The sequence below is a fragment of the Homo sapiens genome, chromosome 2, assembly GCF_000001405.40.
Source record: "Homo sapiens chromosome 2, GRCh38.p14 Primary Assembly".
Classification (NCBI taxonomy): Eukaryota; Metazoa; Chordata; class Mammalia; order Primates; family Hominidae; genus Homo; species Homo sapiens.
Genome location: NC_000002.12, coordinates 34,124,900 through 34,147,012, shown reverse-complemented (window position 1 = coordinate 34,147,012; position 22,113 = coordinate 34,124,900). Strand labels below are relative to the sequence as shown.

The window sequence follows — 22,113 nt, the reverse complement described above, 5'->3', positions numbered from 1 at the left end:
TAACACATGCCACAAGCTGTTTATCAAACAGCATCCAACTTTCAAGGAGATTTATGTAAATCTAATGGGAGTTAGAATCCAAGGCCCTAGGTAGACTTATAATTGCCAAATGATTAGGAACCAAAAGAATAGTTACTAGTAATTTTATTGTAACAATTGCATTCTTATCTCCTTTCATTAAAGCACTTTCCAAGGAGTCTAAAACCACTGCTAAAATACAGCGACTTCCCCCACCACCACCATGACCAACAATACCAGAACTTTACAGATGAGGTGAGTCAGGGAAGAGACTAACCAGGGTGGTGAAGGCATTTTTCCATAAAACAGTTTAGGCAAAAAGGAGATGAAACTATTTTGAGTTTCCACTATATTTTGGCCTATACTTGGCTTTTAATGAAAAAAAATTCACAATAAAAGTAAATGTACAGATGCCTGGTAATCTTAAAGTTACCTTAAGTAGACCTAGATAGCTATAGTGTAAAGGCAAAGTTTTAAGAGTTTTAACGAGACCTGTTATCCATCATTAGAGTCTAATCTACAAACTCCCTTCAATTCTAATTCAGACATAGCAGGAAACTCCAAACAAAGAACATATATTTGTTAGAAGAAAGAGACACTCAAAAACTCTCCAAAGAGAAAGGAAAAGCATAGATGTCTGCAATTTAACATCTCTTTGCGTCTACTCAGATCTATTTGGCCACTTTGCCAGTGAGTAACAGATTTCATCCTCATTATTTTCAATCCAGGTCAATGTCTCTGAAATTCTAGTAGTCTTTGGTCTAAATGTTGTCAAGGTCCTTTCTTCTTTCAAAGTCTATGGACTTTTAATTCACTAAAATTGTTGGCTATATATAGAACCTGATAAAAGAAACACTTAGTAAATACATCTCTATTCCTTGAAAAACAAATCACAGTCATGCCATAGTTCGGTAAGTAATTGTTTTTTCTTTCCATATTTTTTTTTGAGATGGAGTCTTGCTCTGTCACCAGGCTGGGGTGCAGTAGTGTGCTCTCGGCTCACTGCAACCTCCACCTCCCTGGTTCAAGCAATTCCCCTGCCTCAGCCTCCCGAGTAGCTGGGATTACAGGTGCATGCCACCACGTCCAGCTAATTTTTTTGTATTTTTTGTAGAAACAGGGTTTCACCAGGTTGGCCAGACTGGTCATGAACTCCTGACCTCAGGCAATCCACCCACCTCGGCCTCCCAAAGTGCTGGGATTCCAGGCGTGAGCCACCACACCCGGCCTCTTTCCATCTTTAAAATGCCTTTTGCATTGTGACTGTGTCTTATCCAAGCTTAGTCTCCTTGATCATTGATTTTTGAAAAAGTTATTGAAATCTCTTATTCCACAACTAAATTATGCCTCTGTAAGTGATATAAATAGTTTAGACATTCCCTTTTCCTCCATTTATCTTAATCGAAAGTTACTTCAATAAAGAACGCAAGTGCTATGGTAATCAGCTTTATGAATCAGAGAAGAATTAGGAGAGGAATCCAAGGACTAGGATGTAATCAACAAATGACATTGGTCAGTAAGTGTCAGGCTAATAGAATTGTTTTAAATCTTGGATAAATTAAGGTAAGACCACATAATTTCAGACACTACAAATAATTCCCTACTGGGATGAAATCTTTTGTAGACAAGATCAGAGATCAATGACAACTAACTACTTTAAACACAATGCATTCCTTTCTCATTAAATGTTTCTGTAAATGCTTTCTCAGCAATGGGATAAACTAGTTTCCAGTAGACACTAATTCTACATATAAGTGTGTAAAGTATAACATCTTTTTAATTTTTAAAATCCAGAAGAATGTTATATTTCTGAGAGAAAATATCCTCTGAACTACTATGCCTTCAGTGTCTTAAGAAATACAAGCAACCAGCTCAACTTAAAAACAAAACCACAAATCTTTGAAACAAGATTATATATGGTGTATAGTCACCAGGAAGAAGGTGGTATTTTAACATTCAAGGGAAATATGTCATTATCGCACATTAGCAGCAGTACTAAACTGTAACTTACAGCAAAGACTATGTTGCCTGCATATTTTTGTTATTGTGAGCTTGATGGCAAAGGGAAAGATGAATGGGAATTATGCCTGGAAAATAAATAAATAAATGAATAAAACATAATTTTAATTTGGTAAGAAAGAAAAAAACTTGAAGATAAAATTAAATAAGAAAAAGAGAGAAAAATGGTACAGGGGAAAAACACTCAGCCCTGACTTTACCTGAATATCCTGGTGGGTACTATGATACAGAACCAATAAAGAATGCCTTGCATTATGAGCAAGATAGCCCATTTGAGATTATCATTCATTCCTGCCCTAATGTTAAATAAGCCTGGGGTGGTAGAAAGGGTAGGGGCTTTGGAACCAAATAGAAATGGGTTTCGATTAAGTCTCCAACAAATACTGTGCATGAGAACATGGCCAATTCATCAACCACTCTGGGCTTTAGTGATTTTCTGAATTTTAGGAATAATATTAGGAATTTATTCTCTCATAATTCAGGAGGCAAGAAGTCCAAAATCAAGGTGTTGGCAAGACTGCACCTCTCTAGAGGCCCCGGGCCTTCTAGCTTATGGTGGATTTAGGCATTCCTTGGCTTCCTGCTGCATCACGCCAATTTCCGACTCTGTCTTCACATGGTTTTCCCCTCTGTGTGTTTTCTTATCTTCTGTCTCTTAGGTGGCATTTACCATTGAATTTAGGACCCATTTGGATAATCCAGGATGATCTCATCTCATCTCAAGATCCTTAACTTCACTTTATCTACAGTGACCCTAATTTCAAGTAAGTTCACATTCATAAATTTTTGGACATGAGTTTTTGGAGGCCTATCATTCAACCTACTACAAGACCTAAAACAGAAAAATACTCAATAAATGGCAGATGTTTCCTTATAAAATGTAAAATGCATAAATTTATAGGAAGCTGGAGGAAGATATAGAAGGATGAACAGTGAAACATAGAACACTGAAAGTAAAATCTGTCCTCAGTTAACTAAGATCACCATTTTTCTAAGACTGAAAGACTTATTTAAATTGTGTAATTTTCTTATATTCACTTAAGTTCACTATTTTACAGAATAGTTCTAGAGAGAAAGAGCCATGCCCTACCATTTCTTATTATATATCAAGGCCATTATACAGTGCCTGGTATTTAGTGGGAGGTCAATAAATATCAATTAAATAAATGAATAAATAGAGAGAAATGTCCATATGCAAAAGTCTCTCTGTTAGCCAGAAATGGTGGCTCATGTCTGTAGTCCCAGCTACTCAGGAGGCCAAGGCAGGATGATCCCTTGAGACCAGGGGTTCAAGACTAGCCTGGGCAACATAGCAAGATCCTGTTTCTAAAAAATAAAAAATAAAATAACTTTAAAAGTCTCACAGCTAACTGAACCAGAGCTATGCTTAGAAACTGGTTTTTCTGGTTATCATTGCTAGTATTGGAAGACCATTTTTGTGTTTGTTAGTTTCTTTTTAATACAAGCAAATTAAGTTGCACATTAGTACTGTATGAAAGTACCCAGAGGAATTCATCCTGCTGTTTGAGTTGGAACTACTAGGCGGCCAATCAGTCATTTAGGGAGCCTCATCACTGACAAAGCCATATGGTTCTGATTAGTTACACTGAATAGATCAAAGGGATTCTCTGCAAGATAATATTAGTACTCAAAACATGTCATGAGCAACCAGAGCTAGGATTATTGCAAAAAGGAGCCTATGTGGTAGGATTTGGAGAGCACTGGAAAAGGTTCCTGCCAAAATGTATCTTCCACTTTCTGAAAGTTTCATGGGAGATTATTCTTTAGTGGGTGAAGACATTGCATTTTTGAAAAATCTCCCATAAAAATGCAAATACTCCCTAAGAGAGAAACATATTTTAAGTTCTCTATTAAGCAATGTAAATGTGTGGAACACATACAGTGTGTGGCATTGAGAGGTGACAGTGTGCTGGCAGCCCTTGCTCGCTCTCAGTGCCTCCTCGGCCTTGGTGCCCACTCTGGCTGCACTTGAGGAGCCCTTCAGCCTGCCACTGCACTGTGGGAGCCCCTCTCTGGGATGGCCGAGGCCAGAGCCGGCTCCCTCTGCTTGTGGGGAGGTGTGGAGGGAGAGGCATGGGCAGGAACCTGGGCCAGCATGAGTTCCGGGTGGATGCAGGCTCAGCGGGCCCCACACTTGGAGCAGCCAGCTGGCCCCTGGCTGTGAGGGGCTTAGCACGCAGGCCAGCAGCTGTGGAGGGTGCGCCGGGTCCCCCAGCAGTGCCGGCCCGCCAGCGATGCACTCAAATTCTCATTGAGCCTCAGCTGCCTCCCCACAGGGCAGGGCTCGGGACCTGCAGCCCGCCATGCCTGAGCCTCCCCACCCACCCCATGGGCTACCGCATGGCCCAAGCCTCCCTGACGAGCACCACCCCCTGCTCCACAGCGCCCGGTCCCATCGGCTGCCCAAGGGCTGAGGAGTGCGGGCGCATGGTGTGGGACTGGAGGGCAGCTCTGCCCACAGCCCTGGCGTGGGATCCACTAGGCAAAGCCAACTGGGCTCCTGAGTTGATTGGGGACTTGGAGAACTTTTGTGTCTAGCTGGAGGATTGTAAATGCACCCATCAGCATTCTGGGTCTAGCTCGGGGTTCGTGGATGCACCAATCAGCACTCTGTGTCTAGCTCAAGGTTTGTAAACGCACCAATCAGCACCCTGTGTCTAGCTCAAGGTTTGGAAATGCACCAATCAGTGCTCTGTGTCTAGCTAATCTAGTGAGGACTTGGAGAACTTTTATGTCCAGCTAAAGGATTGTAAATGCACCAATCAGCACTCTGTGTCTAGCTCAGGGATTGTAAACACACCAATCAGCACCCTGTCAAAACAGACCAATCAGCTCTCTGTAAAACGGACCAATCAGCTCTCTGTAAAATGGACCAATCAGCTCTCTGTAAAATGGACCAATCAGCAGGATGTGGGTGGGGTCAGATAAGGGAATAAAAGCAGGCTGCCCAAGACAGCAGCAACAACCCGCTGGGGTCTCCTTCTTTACTGTGGAAGGTTTGTTCTTTAGCTCTTTGCAATAAATCTTGCTGCTGCTCACTGTTTGGGTGCGCACTGCCTTTATGAGATGTAACACTCACAGCGAAGGTCTGCATCTTCACTTCTCAGGCCAGCGAGACCACGAACCCACTGGGAGTAATGAACAACTCCGGACGGGAGGAACAAACAACTCCAGATGCACCGCCTTTAAGAGCTGTAACACTCACTGCAAAGGTCTGCAGCTTCACTCCTGAAGCCAGCGAGACCATGAACCCACCAGAAGGAAGAAACTCTGAACATGTCTGAACATTAGAAGGAACAAACTCCGGACACACCATCTTTAAGAACTGTAACACTCACTGCGAGGGTGCGCAGCTTCATTCTTGAAGTCAGTGAGACCAAGAACCCACCAATTTTGGACACACCATTGTGCTACACATTGTGAAGTCTATGACAACAAACAGGATACTGCACTTGCTCTCAAGAAGTTTGTGGTCCAGTGAGACAGACAACATCTGTACAACGAAATCTAATTCAAGGCAGAAAGTCTTATATTCCAAAATAAAGATGCCAAGAGTGATAGGAACATAAAGACTGAAGCTATTAATTCTGACTGAAAGGAAAAAGAAGTGAAAAGTAGTAGAACTTCAAATGGATTTTGAAAAGTAGGCTGGGTTTTGACAAGGAAACATGAAGGACAGGCCATTAAAAGATAAGTAGGAAAACATAATGCTGTCCACAGCCAAATAATCATAATAACAAGGAACAGGGAGCAAAAGAATAGAGGGGTGAGAAGGAAAGCACCAACTCTATCTTAAGTTTTTAACATGCTTTCAGTATTTTCTAGGATTGCAGAGGAAGCCCAGAAGGACAAACAAGTACTGGGATGTTGGATTTGGGGGATGGAAGGCCCTGAGAAAGTCAAAGACAGCACATTCAGAAAAGAGCACGCTTTCGGAAGACCAAGTCCAAAGTTGAATGTTGTGACCAAGAAATGAATTCCCTGAACTCATTCCTATTCTTTCCCAGACTTCTAGGTTGATCTTTGAAGCCACCCAGTGTATAGGGCCTAGTGGGTGAGCCATTCAGCTCCTTTCAGGCTGCCCAAGGCTGTTGTCTGCAACACAGAGAAGTATACTTCCCACTCAGTGACTGCTCAGCCAAGCAGCCCAGAACCCCACCTAGCCTTTTCTCTTTGTTCTCATGGCTACCAGTTATTTAGGTAGGAGCTCCTCCAAGCCATTTTCCAGCTCCAATGCAACCACTATTTTTATTTTTTTCTTTCTCATTTCTTGCCCCTCTTCATGCTGTTGGCCAAGATCTATCCTCTTTATTCTCCTCAATACTCATGCTGAGTTGATATATAATATCTGCAGGTAGTTGTAGAAGAAATAAGAAGACAGTGATATCAAAAGTCCTTAAAAAAAAGGCACTTAGTGGCCCCCAAATATTTACAGATAAAAAAAATCTCCATTTAAGTGATTCGGTGAGGGAAAAGAACATATTGCATAACTGGGGAAACTGCTTCTTCAGTGCATTTTCATGGCCTAATAAGGAATTAACATCACACCTAGTATGGAAGTAGCACTGCAAAGTCTCAGTCTATGCCTCTAAGCCCAAAATTACATTTTCTAATGTCTATTTCCTGCTGAGCTGCTTTTGTTCCCTTGGGGAAACTTCCCTGATCTATTATGGCTGATACATGCTTCTAACTTTCTTGAACATACAGCCATTTCTGAAGATGACTTTATGCATCTTACATAGGGCTTTTAAAACGATTTGTGAATAAAAAGTATTTAACACCCAGTATCTAAATGTCTGGGTGTTTTGGGGCATGGGGTGATGTCACTTAGATATTTTTTTCTCTATAGGGACATTTTTTTTAAGTCTGGCTTTTTCATTGCTATTGTTCAAGCTCAAAGATAGAAATTAACGATTTTCCTGAAGATTCGTGTTTCCCCTGTTTAAGTAGGGGGTGATTTAGGGCTAGGCACTTTTTAGGACACTGTTATTTTAGATATCATGTGGGCAATATGAGGACATTGACGTAACCATAAGTTAACTCACATTTTCTAGTTCCTGAAAACTTAAAATAGTTATATATGAAAGATTACAATTTCTCTAACCTAACTGAAAACCTCGTTTCTTTTACTTTAGAAGAGTTTTAGGTAACCAAAAGAGCTCCTTCATCTTTAGAGTCTCTGGTCCCTAACAATTTTCTTTCATTAATAACGTTTTTTTATCCCTATTCTTGTTCAACAATAAAAGTTGGAATTAAGAATAGCTTTTATGTTTTATTCTCTTTTGTTTCAAGGATGAAGTAGTTATTAAGTGAAACAAAAAAGATCTGCCTCTACCATTATATTTTAGTGTTCTTTTTTAAAGGAGGAAGGAAAATTACATTTCTTCTGGAAAGGAGAATTGAAATATAACAATGCCCACTTCTGTGCAGTTTGTGAGAGACTGACATAAAAAAGATCATTTTTCTTTTCTTTGTATCACAGTATCAATTTTGTTCCTAAAAAATGAAATCCCAAGATGATTTGCAAATAGAAATTTAGGGGTTGGGTCAGGTTTATCCAAATTAATGTTCCTTTAAGGTAGTGTAAATAGAAACAGCCACCTCACTGATCTTTCATGATCTCTGTCATTTCACAAATCCAGTCACTTGCTCCATTAATGGATGAATGAGCTTTGCCTAATCTACAGGCTTAGCTAGAATAGGCCAAAGGTAATCACGAAATCTATCTGGAACAACCATTTTGCCCCAGTGTAGATTACAACTGAGGCTCCTGAATTTTGATTTTTTTCCTAAGTTAAATAAGTGCTGATGAAAATATTGCAAGATAATGACAAAAGCAATGAAGCAGTCAGGCAATGGCCTGGGCCAAATTTGAGGTAAATATTTATTCATTCCTATTCTCACAGAAATTATGCCTGGTGCCTAAACTCCCTGAGCCATGTGGGCTTGGCTGTCTGAACAAGCCTCTTCTGTCATAAGGTCAGTACTAAACCTGATTACACCTTTAGGCTAATCTCTTTTTAACGTGGTTATAGAAGAGGCTTTTGGAAAAATTAGACTATCTATTGGCCATTGATTACAGAAGATGTGCATTGGCAGAGTTAGAAGGAGACAGGACACAGGAGTTCCAAGACTGGTTTCACCACATACTGTCTGTGACCTTGGGAAAGAAAATTTAAAAATTCATATGACTGGAGTCATTTTGTAGTATTTTATTTATTTTTAAAAGTCCAACTATTGAACTCCACCCAATTCATTTAACTATTCAGTGTACTTGAAATGATGATTCTCACAGTAGCTATGAAAATCAAATTTAAAAGACTATATGAGAAAATGGCTGGTAAAATATACCAGGCATAAAGGCTTTGGTATGTTCATTATTTTGACCATTAACAAAAATTTCACAAGAAAAATAATTTTATCAATCCTGATAACATAGATACTCCTATTTTATGTAACCACTACAGTCCTAACTTTTGTATTTTGGAGATCCACTAGGGAATTCTTTTTAAAGCACATTATCCTTCTATAGCATGCCAATTACATTCTGTCACTCGAGATGTTAAAATGAACATGTGTGGTATACACATACGCATTTCCTGCCCTTACTGTATGACTTTGTGGCACCTCCCACTAAAGCAGGTAGAGTATATTTCCCCACCCCCATTGACATTTGGGCATGTTTCCGATGGAATGTCAGTGAACATAACGGGAGCAGAGGCTTAAATATGCATTCATGGCTTGGCTTGCCCCCTTGCCTTCCTAGGAGGCAGGAAAAGAATGTGTCCTAATATCCAGATCCAATAAGAAGGAAAAACACATGCAGTAGAATGGAACCTGAAGCGCAGCCTGAAATAGAGCCTCTCCAGCTGACCCACAGCCCCTAAAGGAAGAAAAATAAATGTTAGTGTTATAAGCCTCAGTGATTTTGACGTCATTACACAGCAAGACTGACTAGTAAAAAATGCATGGGCCATATTCTAGAGTTTTTAAAGAACATGTAGAATATAGACCTTCTTTGCAGGGTCAGTTGGATTAACAGAGCCTAGAGGAAGGGAAATTTGGCTGTGAAAAATGAAAGATATCTCTTAAGAGTCTTGTTTATTCTGTAGATACGGGGAAGGATTCTTTAGTAAGTTCAAAGCTAAAGCCTACCGTGCTTTTGAAAAACTGAGAGTATAAGGTAAAGATCAGCCCTTACTATTTCCCTAATGGAAAGAATAGCACACTGTACCAAACTACATTTCCTTCAACACTATATGTCTCCCCTATTCTTGTCAAAACTTGATATACCAAACTCATTAATTTTAACAAATCTGATAAATGAAAAATCATGTTACTTTGACTTACTGTTGATTTTCATATGCAATCATCCATCAGAATCCATGGGGATTGGTTCCAAGAATCCCGGATAATACCAAAATCCACAGATGTTCAAGTCCCTGACATAAAATGGCGTAGTATTTCCGTGTAATCTATGCATATCCTTCTGTATATTTTAAATCATCTGGATTCCTTATAATACCTAATACAATGCAAATGCTATGTAAATGGTTTTTATTCTGTATTGTTCAGGGGATACTGACCAGAAAAAAAATAGTCTGTACATGTTTAGTACAGATGTGACCATCCATTTCTTTTTTTTTTTGAATGTTTTCAATCCACAGCTGGCTGAAACCACAGATGCAGAGCCCACAGATAGAGCTGAACGTACTTATTGAACATTTGTATTTATGTGTCTATCAATTATCTTCTCGTATCATTTTCTGTATATTATATTGAATGCTATAGTTTTGTTCATACCTACAAAAATTACATTTTAAAATCGTTTTACCCTAAAACTCAACTGTGAGCAATTTATCCCATAAAAATGTGTTTTAAAGAATATAAAAACATACCTACAAGTAATTCACCAGGGCATAATTTAAAATAATTCACAAAAAATGTTGTAGGGAGGGGGAAGCCCTAAATTTTCTTTGAAACAGAAATGATTCCATTATCGCACATTCATTAAGCAAAAATCTAAATGACTATTAAAAACTTGTTCCATATGTGATGGTATGAAACAATATCAAGATTTTCTGAAGAAAACCCAAGGAAATTTTAAAAGCAATTGCTCAAAAGAATTGAAATAGGAAATCCAGATGGGAGAGGTATCTGGATGGAGTATTTTTACTTTATGCCATTCTGTACTTTTTATAATGAGAACATGTTATTTTATAACAAATAAAGAAACCTTTTTATATCAAGATAAAACATATTCTTCAAAAAATTTTTAGACCTAGAAATTCAGACTGGCAAAAGAAGGAAACTAACACAATACATACAACTAGAAAAATGATTAGCAATTCCATTGTTGAATACCCTTTTGTTATTTACCTATGTATATCAATGGATTTTTATGCTGCATTGTTTTGCAATCTATGTTTTTCACTTAACAATATAATTTTCCAATATTAATAGTCTCTACAGCATTCTTTTTGATATCTATAAACCTGCCCCTTGTACTGTAACATATTTTGCTAATCGTTTTCTTCTGGCATTTTTTTTCATGTTTTCACTATAATAAATAATGCTTCAATAAAATTTATATTGCTATATCTTTGTATACTTTCCTAATGCTTATACTAACACTTTCATATATATTATTTTTCACTAACAGCATCATCAAAACTTCATGTACAATACCACCAATTGTGCTGCTGGTATTTTATGCACAAAATTGAGGTCAACAGAATGAATTTTGATGCTCTGTTCACTACAGGAACAAAAATTGTGAGGAAAAGAATGATCAGTGCAAACTTGCTAGGACTGTCACCCAGATTCTCCCAAAAGAGACTTTTCAAATCAGGCAAGCAATGTTATTTTTAAACAAAAGTTCAAAAACATGTTTAAGATAATATATTGGTTGTGACCAAATTTATAACTTATCAAAATTCTGTTTTTGTGAGCTTCACATATGTTTTCTAGAACAGGTCAAACTATTAAAGAATACCATTATTTAACCATTTTGGACCAGTAAAAATGAAAATTTCTTATACAGTCTAATGTTCTATATTTTTTTTCTAAGAATAAAAGCCACCTATTAAATATTTATGGTGATAGCTTGTTGTTCCAGATTTTATTAAATGTTTTGGGTCATGGGTATGATTTATGGCTTACTGGAACCTAGATAAGAAATATGATTTCCATCTTTAATATTATATATGGGAAAATGTTTTACAGCATTGATTTCTAGGAACACGTTCAGCATAACTGTCACTTCCAGAAGTTACAAAAAGAAAATTATAAATATTGGGCTATTTTCCTAATTTTGTGAAACTGTACAAAATTTAAGAATTATTGGACAAAAGATATTTAGAATCCTTTGGGAAAGGAATGTTAAGATCAGTATACATTTAGTGATATGAATACTATATTTTATCTATGAGTTTCCTTTTTACCGCATAGGAACAAATAGATAAAATACTGAAATATTTATCTTAATTGGGCATTCTTTGTTTCTTTCACCAGAATTCTGAGATAAGAAAACAAGCTTTTCCCTTTGGGACCCACTTAGTCATTTTGATAGAAAAGCATATTTAACTGCTGTCTTTGGAATATTCTTTAGTATATTTTTGATTTAAAAAAATCTATCCTTTACTTGCACATTACAGTTATGGAGATAAAGAGATAGCTCCTTAAGTACTAACGCGAAGAGGGGAATAAAAGGAATGGAGGCAACGTCACTTGGGTTCCCAAAGCATCATCACCCTACAGAGACAGAGTTCTTGACTTTGCCATTAGCGACAGTTGGGGCTGTTAAAGTCAAATAAAAATATAGAAACAAATCACTATGCAAAGTGTTTCATTTGGGAATGCATATAAAAACAGAATCACTATTTAGGGCATACATACAGAATGGCATGGTCTTTGGCATGTTTGAAGAACAAAGAAAAGGTTGGAAGTTCTATTAGAAAGGGACATGTTACACATTTGAAAGGAAGCTCAGTGGCACTAGTGAAGTTTTGGGGACCTGACACTCTTTAATTAGTGAATGACAATGGTAGGTAAAACTGGTCTTAACGTCACAGCACACATCTAGTCCGTATCAGCAGCCACTAGGTAAAACTGATCTTAAGGTTACAGCAGGCCATTTCAGCAGCCAAGCTGGTGGATCATTCTTGGACCAAGTGCTATGTGCGCCAGACTGCTCTCTCCCCTGACCTTTCAACTCTGATTTCGTTGGGTATGACAAGAATAGCCCAGTTTGTATAATCAAATTTCACATTTCCCCATTTTGATCAAGATCTTTCTCTCAAAATGTCACTGATTAACTATTCTGAGGTTAGGCGTAATTGTCCCTCACTGCAGGGTCTGAACCTGTCCGAGTTTCCTCTGTCCTACTTTTGGGGGTTAGGTATGAGAGTCCATGTCAGGGACCTGGGCCACATTTAGCAAAAGAGAGGCCAAAAGGAAAATCTTTCTCATTGCAGCTTTGCCTGGAGTTCAACATTGAGTTTCACTGTATTAGACCCATAGGTATTAGCAATCATCTCAAGACACTGGGCTAACATTATCTTGTTGGGAGTGCTGGCTTTACAAAGAATGGTCAGGCAAAAAAAAAAAAAAAAAAAAAAAAAAAAAAAAAAACTTTAATATGAAAATGCAAAAAGTCATTAGTGACAATACAATAAATCCAGTTTGAATAGTCCTAGATTATGAACTTAAATTTTAAGGCAACCAACTGAACAGATCAAAAAGTTCCGATGTATCTGGTGAGATTTGTTGGAGCCAGCTAGCTTGGGTTTTCTTTTATCTTGTATAATTGTGTTTCTACTTTCCCAGAGGAATTCATACATGCATAGCAAGCAGTGTTAGCAATTATACAACCACCACCTTCTCAGCTAATAACTAATCCAGGCAATCCTGTTATCCAATGCCACTTTAGCAAGAGATTCTAAGAAAGTTTATTGAGCTACAATAGCCTTAGGTATGGAATCTGCTATAGACCCAAGTTTTAAGGATAAATTTCTGATTCATGCTCCCTCTGCCTCTCCCTCTCCCCATGGTCTCCCTCTGATGCCGAGCCGAAGCTGGACTGTACTGCCATCTTGGCTCACTGCAACCTCCCTGCCTGATTCTCCTGCCTCAGCCTGCCGAGTACCTGGGATCGCAGGCGTGCGCCGCCACGCCTGACTGGTTTTCGTATTTTTTTGGTGGAGACGGGTTTCGCTGTGTTGGCCGGGCTGGTCTCCAGCTCCTAACCGCAAGTGATCTGCCAGCCTCAGCCTCCTGAGGTGCCGGGATTGCAGATGGAGTCTCGCTCACTCAGTGCTCAATGTTGCCCAGGCTGGAGTGCAGTGGCGTGATCTCAGCTCGCTACAACCTCCACCTCCCAGCTGCCTGCCTTGGCCTCCCAAAGTGCTGAGATTGCAGCCTCTGCCCGGCCGCCACCCCGTCTGGGAAGTGAGGAGCGTCTCTGCCTGGCCGCCCATCGTCTGGGATGTGAGGAGCCCCTCTGCCCAGATGCCCAGTCTGGGAAGTGAGGAGCGCCTCTTCCCGGCCGTCATCCCGTCTAGGAAGTGAGGAGTGTCTCTGCCCGGCTGCCCATCCTCTGAGATGTGGGGAGCACCTCTGTCCCGCCGTCCCGTCTGGGATGTGAGGAGCACCTCTGCCCGGCAGCCGCCCCCTCTAAGAAGTGAGGAGCCCCTCCTCCCGGCAGCCACCCTGTCTGGGAAGTGAGGAGCCCCTCCGCCCGGCAGCCGCCCAGTCTAGGAAGTGAGGAGCGTCTCCGCCCGGCAGCTGCCCCGTCCGGGGGAGGTGGGGGGCAGCCCCCGCCTGGCCAGCCGCCCCATCAGGGAGGTGGGGGGCGCCTCTGCCCGGCCGCCCCTTCTGGGAAGTGAGGAGCCCCTCTGCCCGGCCGCCACCCCGTCTGGGAGGTGTACCCAACAGCTCATTGAGAACAGGCCATGATGACGATGGCAGTTTTGTCGAATAGAAAAGGGGGAAATGTGGGGAAAAGATAGACAAATCAGATTGTTGCTGTGTCTGTGTAGAAAGAAGTAGACATAGGAGATTCCATTTTGTTCTGTACTAAGAAAAATTCTTCTGCCTTGGGATGCTGTTAATCTATAACCTTACGCCCAACCCCGTGCTCTCTGAAACATGTGCTGTGTCCACTCAGGGTTAAACGGATTAAGGGCGGTACAAGATTTGCTTTGTTAAACAGATGCTTGAAGGCAGCATGCTCGTTAAGAGTCATCACCACTCCCTAATCTCAAGTACCCAGGGACACAAACACTGCGGAAGGCCACAGGGTCCTCCTTCTAGGAAAACCAGAGACCCTTGTTCACTTGTTTATCTGCTGACCTTCCCTCCACTATTGTCCTATGACCCTGCCAAATCCCCCTCCTCGAGAAACACCCAAGAATGATCAATAAATACTAAAAAAAAAAAAAAAAAGAATTCATCTGGGTAAGAGAGACTGCCAAATAAGCGGCCTAGAATTTTTTTCTAACAACAAAAATCACTCAGCAAAGGAAATGAGTCCATACTATCATTTACAGGTAAAATTCATAGTGACACTGTACCAGCTACTAACTTCTGTATGTAATTTTAATCACTGCCTCAAAATATTGTTATAGTGTCTTAGGAGTGGTCTAATACAGTATTTTAAATTCTATTTTTGCAAAGATTACACTGATACTGAAAAAGAGAGCTTTATCCCATATTTGCCTCTACAGAGTAGTAATAAAGCAACTCTGACCTAAAAAAAAAAAAAAAAAAAAAAAAAAGATAAATTTCTGATCGTTGTTTTTAAGTGGTTAACTGCAATCCAAGAGAAAAAGTATCTAAACAGCTGAGGCCTATCCCGCTGGATTTCTGTCTCCCAGTAAGGTATATCTTTTAATGGTGTTAAGTTAAAAGGTACCAACCAATGTTCAGATTTTGTTAATTTGTGTTGAATCCGGAAATATCTTAAACCACACTGGCATTTTATTTTCCATTTGTTGAGACATGATGTTGTCCATGCTTATGATTGACTGTTAAATCCTCCATAAATAAAAATGTATTTTGATGAAACATAACAGTTAATTCTATGTGGAGTACCTTGTGTATTAATTGTTACTCATAGGGAGATGTCAGTGGTATTTATCCAAGGTTCTATTATTGAGTTATTACATTGTTTGAGGTTATCAGTAATTAGAAGACCAGGATCATCAATGTTTTTGTAATCTGTCAAATTGTTTTTCTCTTGAATCTTAATACCATACCTTTACTTTCACAATCTTAGTCTAATTCCAAAGTCTTTTATGTAGACTGCTGGTACTGTTAGGGTGAAGCCAGGAATCTCAATATCTGGGTCCAAAAGTTTGACTTTTTACAAAGGACTGGATACAAAATTGGAACCACAGTTACATTGGGAACATTAACAAAATCTGTTATGGGGTAGACTAAAGGTCTACTTATATCATGACAGATCAAGGTTTTTGGTAACAAATCCAACAGTCAGTAATGCCGCCTCCTTGTAATAGATTGGAAAGTGCAAATTAGAGCATTGTCTTTCCAGGAAAATAAAGGCATATAAGAAGAGATCAATAATAAAAGGGAAAGAATACAGTGACCTGATCTAGGCATCCTGAAATAGGGATCTACTGTAGACATCATCTGCTTCAATTCCAGGTAAATTTTAGTCTTAAATCACCTGTTGGAGAGTTGCTTCAGTCAGAAGTAGGGACCATTTTTAAAAAAGAGATGTAAATCCAAGAGTCAATGTCTTTGAGTCTGATAGCATAGGGACTGGTGAAAAGGACCGAATATGGGCCCTTCCAATGTGGTTTGAGAGAATCCTTATGTAGGTGCCTTTTTTAGTAGACAAAGTCACTAGGTTACAGATCACGGTACTGTAGGTCCTTGTCTCCCAGGAGAGTACTGTGGGAAGACTGTTCTACCAAAGTATGATTTTTATCCATCACTTTAATAATGTCTTTGCAATACTGAAGTATGTCTCTTTGCTGTTAACTGAGAGTCAAAATAGAGGGAGTGAAGTATATAGGAGAGCCTGTGATTATTTCAAAAGCTAAAAGTTTCTGAGCTCTAAAGGGAGTGGCTCTAAAATTTAATATCAAAGGAAGAACTCTAGGCCAAGGAAGGTATATGGTTTCCATAAATTTGGCCAACTGTATTTTAATAGTTCCATTTGTTTGCTCTACTGAGCCAGAAGACTGGATAGTAGGCACAATGGAAATGCTGTAAAATTGGCCAAACTGAACGTACCTGCTTTATTAAAAGACTGGTAAAGTGGGTTCTCCAGTCATTGTGAAGTTCAAGGTGAGTTCTAAAAGTGGGAATAATTTTCTCTGCAAGAATTTAGGCCAGGGCTTCAATGGCATTAATGTTGAACGCCACTATTTCTTCGAGAGTCTCCTTTCCTGATACAAATCTGCACAATAAATTATTAGAATCACTCCTAAACAGCCTGCTGCCCTATCTGTTCGCCCCCACCACAAGATCCCACACAGCTGTTATTCTCTTTATTTAAATAATCACCCCTATGGCTGGGTGTGGTGGCTCATGCCTGTAATCCCAGCACTTTGGGAAGCCGAGGGCAGTGAATCACCTGAGGTCGGGCGTTCAAAACCAGGCTGACCAACATGGAGAAACCCCATCTCTACTAAAAATAAAATTTCTTAAAAAAATTAGCTGGGTGTTGTGGCACATGCCTGTAAACCCAGCTACTTGGGAGGCGGAGGAAGGAGAATCGCTTGAACCCGGGAGGCGGAGGTTGCGGTGAGCCAAGATTGTGTGTGGTGACTCACACCTGTAATCCCAGCACTTCTGAAGGTCAAGGCAGGTCGATCACCTGAGGTCAGGAGTTCGAGACCAGCCTGGCCAACATGGCGAAAACCCATCTCTAATAAAAATACAAAATTAGCTGGGTATGGTGACAGGCACCTGTAATCCCAGCTACTTGGGAGGCTGAGGCAGGAGAACTGATTGAACCTGGGAGGCGGAGGTTGCAGATCATGCCATTGCACTCCAGCCTGGGCAACAAGAACGAAACTCCATCTTAAAAAAAAAAAAAAAAAAAAAAAAAAGCCTTAATTTACCTCAGGAAAGGAAAAATGTAAAAACACTTAGTAAACTGTAAAGTGCCATACAAATCTATAAAATATGTATTGTCCTCATCCAAGTAAAGCCCCTCATTTTATTAGTAATAGAACAGAGAGATGAAGAGATTAAAAAGATTCTTCAAAAGCTTTACAATGCTTTTGAATAATCATTAGGACTATCAACAACCACCCTTAGGCTAGTTGTCACTAACTTTAATCCACAATTACTGATCGAGCTTCAGCAGTTTTTTCTAGTCATTCTTGTTTGACTCAACAGCTGCATATATCACTAAACTAGCCTACAGACTGTAAGAACGTGCATGTAACAAGCATTTTTCAAATTCAGTACAACTGCCTATTTTCTCATAAAAGAGATGAAACAGAATACTTGAGGATACAAGATTTTTCTTAATCTGGCTGACCAAATACTTTTAGGCTCTAATATTTTTTTTTCTTTATAGTTGATCACATTCAGCTATTTAAACATATATACCCAAGATTAACCTCTCACCCCACAAACTATTAAGAGAAGCTGAACAAAGATAGAAAAGAGAAAGCAATTTTACCTTAAGAGCTCAACAGAAGATGATGTTTGGATAATAAATAAAATTATTACAATACTCCCTGGAGGAATAGTTTCAAATGTATTTACCATGCATCTTTTATTTTTTATTTTTTGTAGAGATGAGGTCTCACTATGTTGCTCAGACTGGTCTCAAACTCCCGGCCTCAGGTGATCCTCCCAAAGTGCTGGGATTACAGGCTTGAGCAATTGTACCCCCAGCCTATTATATACTATTTTCATTTATTCACAACTAATGCATTTAGTCACTTCCAACAAGTTGTTTCTCTGCCTCCCTAAAGTTCTAATTAAAGAACTCCTGCTATTTTCATAGGGAGACCGTTGCAGACAAGATTCTCATTTCTGGAATGAAGAAATCCAGATCGGCAGCACTCTTAATATTGTTCACTGCTTCTACAATGCTAATTTTTGTTTGCATAGTCTATACACTAATTAGCACAGTCCTGTACACTGAGTCTTCAATAACTGCTCAGTGATAGCAGAAGAAAGATAGCTAGTAACTGATGCTGTGGGTTTAGCTTGTCAGAATGCTTAGTATTCTACATTCTCGATTTGTAAAGACTGAAACCCTGGCAGCACACACACAAAAAGATAAAATGGAAGCAAGCAGAAAGGGTCAAATTAAAGAGCTACATCTGCCTTATTTTTACATAGTTTTTGTATCTATAGTGTTGATTAGAGTTCTCCCCTCCAACCTCCAAAAATGTCATTATAAACCAAGATTAGGTAAGAAATTGAAAATGTGTCATATGAAGAGAAAACAAAAAGAAAAAAAATACTATCTCACACCACTTAGAATGTCGATCATTAAAAAGTCAGGAAACAACAGGTGCTGGAGAGGATGTGGAGAAACAGGAACACTTTTACACTGTTGGTGGGACTATAAACTAGTTCAACCAGTGTGGAAGTCAGTGTGGCGATTCCTCAGGGATCTAGAACTAGAAATACCATTTGACCCAGCCATCCCATTACTGAGTATATACCCAAAGGATTATAAATCATGCTGCTATAAAGACACATGCACACATATGCTTATTGCGGCACTATTCACAATAGCAAAGACTTGGAACCAACACAAATGTCCAACAATGATAGACTGGATTAAGAAAATGTGGCACATACACACCATAGAATACTATGCAGCCATAAAAAATGATGAGTTCATGTCCTTTGTAGGGACATGGATGAAGCTGGAAACCATCATTCTCAGCAAACTATCGCAAGGACAAGAAACCAAACACCACATGTTCTCACTCATAGGTGGGAACTGAACAATGAGAACACATGGACACAGGAAGGGGAACATCACAGACCAGGGACTGTTGTGGGGTGGGGGGAGAGGGGAGGGATAGCATTTGGAGATATACCTAATGTTAAATGATGAGTTACTGGGTGCAGCACACCAACATGGCACATGTATACATATGTAACTAACCTGCACTTTGTGCACATGTACCCTAAAACTTAAATAAAAGAAAAAGAAAAAGAAAAAAAAACCTGGCTATGCTATCTCTTCAACGACTCCTGCTGGACTTTGTCTCCTTGGACACCGGCTACTGAACAAATTGATCCCTGACATTTTTGAGCACCAGGACTGCATGGCTGATGCACGTTCACAGAAAACAATGATTTTTACCACCCACAAACCAGAAGAGTAAAGTAAATAACATTCATTTAGTTCCTCTCCTGTGCTTTTACATACACATCTCATGGGATCTTCCAATTAGTCAATTAGTCAACTAATCAACACATCTTTCCAAAGGATCATATTCTACATGTTTGCTCTGCCCTAGCGTTGCTATGGTGAACAGAGAGACATACCCCCTTCTGATTACAATTTGAGTTTCTCCTAGCTGTTAAATATGAGGTAGGAAATTGGTCAAATGCAAGTATTTGGTTTTTAAACCCTGCTCTTTCTACTATATCACTCTTCTTTCTGGGCATTTCAACTCATTCTGGGTTATACAGCTCCAAAAGACCTATGTCCCTAAATAAGGGTTAAGAAATAAAGACAGAAATAAGAATATGATTTTTAGAGTAGTTCTTATTTATGCCTTAGGAATCTTGCTGCAAGAAAGTAGAATTATTCAAATGGATCCTATGTCAGTTGCCATGATCCAAAGAGCAGTGGGTAAGGAGTTTTCAAGAAGGCCCCAGGAAATCTATGAGATAAAACAGAAGGCATCAGGTCCTATAGGCTGAGAAACAGGCCTGGTGTTGACTGTGAAGGGAGACCTATTTCTCTAAGTCTTCAGCAACTTTCATGAGCCGAAAAGACTGTCTAATGCCAAAATATTAAAAATGGCAAAATTCTCCTTACATTTTTACTTTTTCTCTTACAAAGTAGTCACATAAGTCAGCAATAAGTTAACACAAAGTGTTGTACCAGGTCACTCCACTCCTTGATAAAAATTGCTATAATATGACATAATCATGGTCCAAGTGACTGAAACTAGATGACTCCCAAGTATAATTTGCTGAATCACAGCTTCAGAAAATCAAGGTACTTCTTCATGAGCACAAAATCACTAGTGATATTCCAATCTGACAAAAAAGTATATGAGGCTTACCGCTGTGAAAAGCACGTGGTAAAGTTTCACAGAAGAGGAGCCGCCATCCTTAACCTTGGTGGTGAAGTTAGGATCCTCCTCCTGGTGCCTATTCCTTCCTTCAACTCATTTCAGTCTCATAACCAGTCATATGCAAAGGTTCCTTTTCAGGCTAAATGCTAACACATTTATCAATATGATGCAGCAGAGACCTGCTTTCCTGGCTACTTTGCATGTTATTTCACTTATTACGTAACACGAAAACTTCCCTGTTTACTAAGTTTATGTATTAGTCAGGGTTCTCCAGAGGGAGAGAATTATAGGATATATGTATATACGAAAGGGAGTTTATTAAGGAAAATTGATTCACACAATGACTGGGTGAAGTCCCACAATAGGCCACCTGCAAGCTTAGGAGGAAACCAGTAGTAGCTCAGTCTGAGTCCAGAAGCCTCAAAAGTAGGGAAGCCAAGAGTGCAGCCTTCAGTCTGTGGCCAAAGGCCCGACAGCCTCTGGAAAATGACTGGTGTAAGTCCAACAGTCCAAAGGCCAAAGAACCTGGAATCTGATGCTCAAGGAAGCATCCAGCATGGAAGAAAGATGAAAGCCAGAAGACTCAACAAGCCAACTGATATGGTTTGCCTGTGTTGTCCCCACCCAAATTTCACCTTGAATTGTAATAATTCCCATGTGTCAAGTGTGGGGCCAGGTGGAGATAATTGAATCATGGGGGCAGTTTCCCCAGCACTGTTCACTGTTCTCATGGTAGTGAATAAGTCTCATGAGATCTGATGGTTTTATAAATGGGAGTTCCCCTGCACAACTATTGCCTGCTGCCATGTAAGATGTAACTTTGCTCCTCCTTCACTTTCTCCCATGGTTGTGAGGTCTCCCCAGCCATGTGAAACTGTGAGTCAAATAAACCTCTTTCCTTTATAAATTAAACAGTATCAGGTATGGCTTTATTAGCAGTGTGAGAACAGACTAATACACCAATATATCCCACCTTCTTCTGTCTGATTTTTCTAGCTGCCCTGACAGCCAATGGGAGGGTGCCCAATCACATGGAGGGTGGGTCTTCTCTCCCAGTCCACTGACTCAAATGTTAATCTCCTCTGCAACACCCTCATAGACGCCCCCAGAAACAATACTTTCCCATCTATCTAGGCATTCTTCAATCCAACCAAGTCAACACCTAATATTAACCATCACACTTGTCAACCACAATTTTTATCTTTGTTATAAAATCCTTGAAGAAAATCACCGCCTGCTGAAAGAGATGTTTCTTATTTTCAAAGCAAATGGGTTCCCCTAGGTGGCAAGATGGCCCAATGGATATTATTCTCTCACTTATCAGTAGGCCACCTCCTTTAGGGAAAAACCATTTACCATAAAGATTACTTTCTAATACTCCTCAGCTTAAAACTAATGCCTTCTAAACTATGAGCTGAGGCCGGACTTTGGAGGGGCAGAGCAGGCTAGGGCAAAGCAAGGATTACTTAAAAGGCATATAGTTTCCTCAGCCCCAAAATGCATTATCATGGAAAGAAGCAATTTTATTTAAGCATGGTCCCATTCCAAAACATAGACAAGGTGAAGAGCATGGGCAATAAGATGTTGGTGTGATGACATTTTGTCCACAGGAAAAAAGAGGTCCATCTCAAAGTCACTGAATCCAAGAAGTGGAAGAAAAACCTCTCCCCCACCCCATAGTTCTTCTTGGGACTGATCCTATATGCTATATGATCCTATGTGCCTGTGTGATTGATATGCCAGAAGGAGGCTTCCCTTTGAGTTGCTGCTGGCTTGTTGATAGAACTGAATGCAA

At 39.7% G+C, this 22,113-nt stretch overlaps 1 long non-coding RNA gene across 1 annotated transcript in view, besides 1 other annotated feature; it reads right to left on the bottom strand.

The window, feature by feature from the left end:
- LINC01317 (long intergenic non-protein coding RNA 1317) overlaps window positions 1-22,113 on the bottom strand; it is a 590,861-nt gene that overhangs the window by 150,734 nt on the left and 418,014 nt on the right. The gene's annotated exons all lie outside the window — the stretch shown is intronic.
- Window positions 14,058-14,559: an enhancer, noted in NCBI's record as "NANOG hESC enhancer chr2:34357521-34358022 (GRCh37/hg19 assembly coordinates)". NCBI's record gives its function as "activates a minimal SCP1, AML or CMV promoter by ChIP-STARR-seq in primed H9 embryonic stem cells {active_cell/tissue: H9 hESC(primed)}" and the evidence as "EXISTENCE:reporter gene assay evidence [ECO:0000049][PMID:30033119]".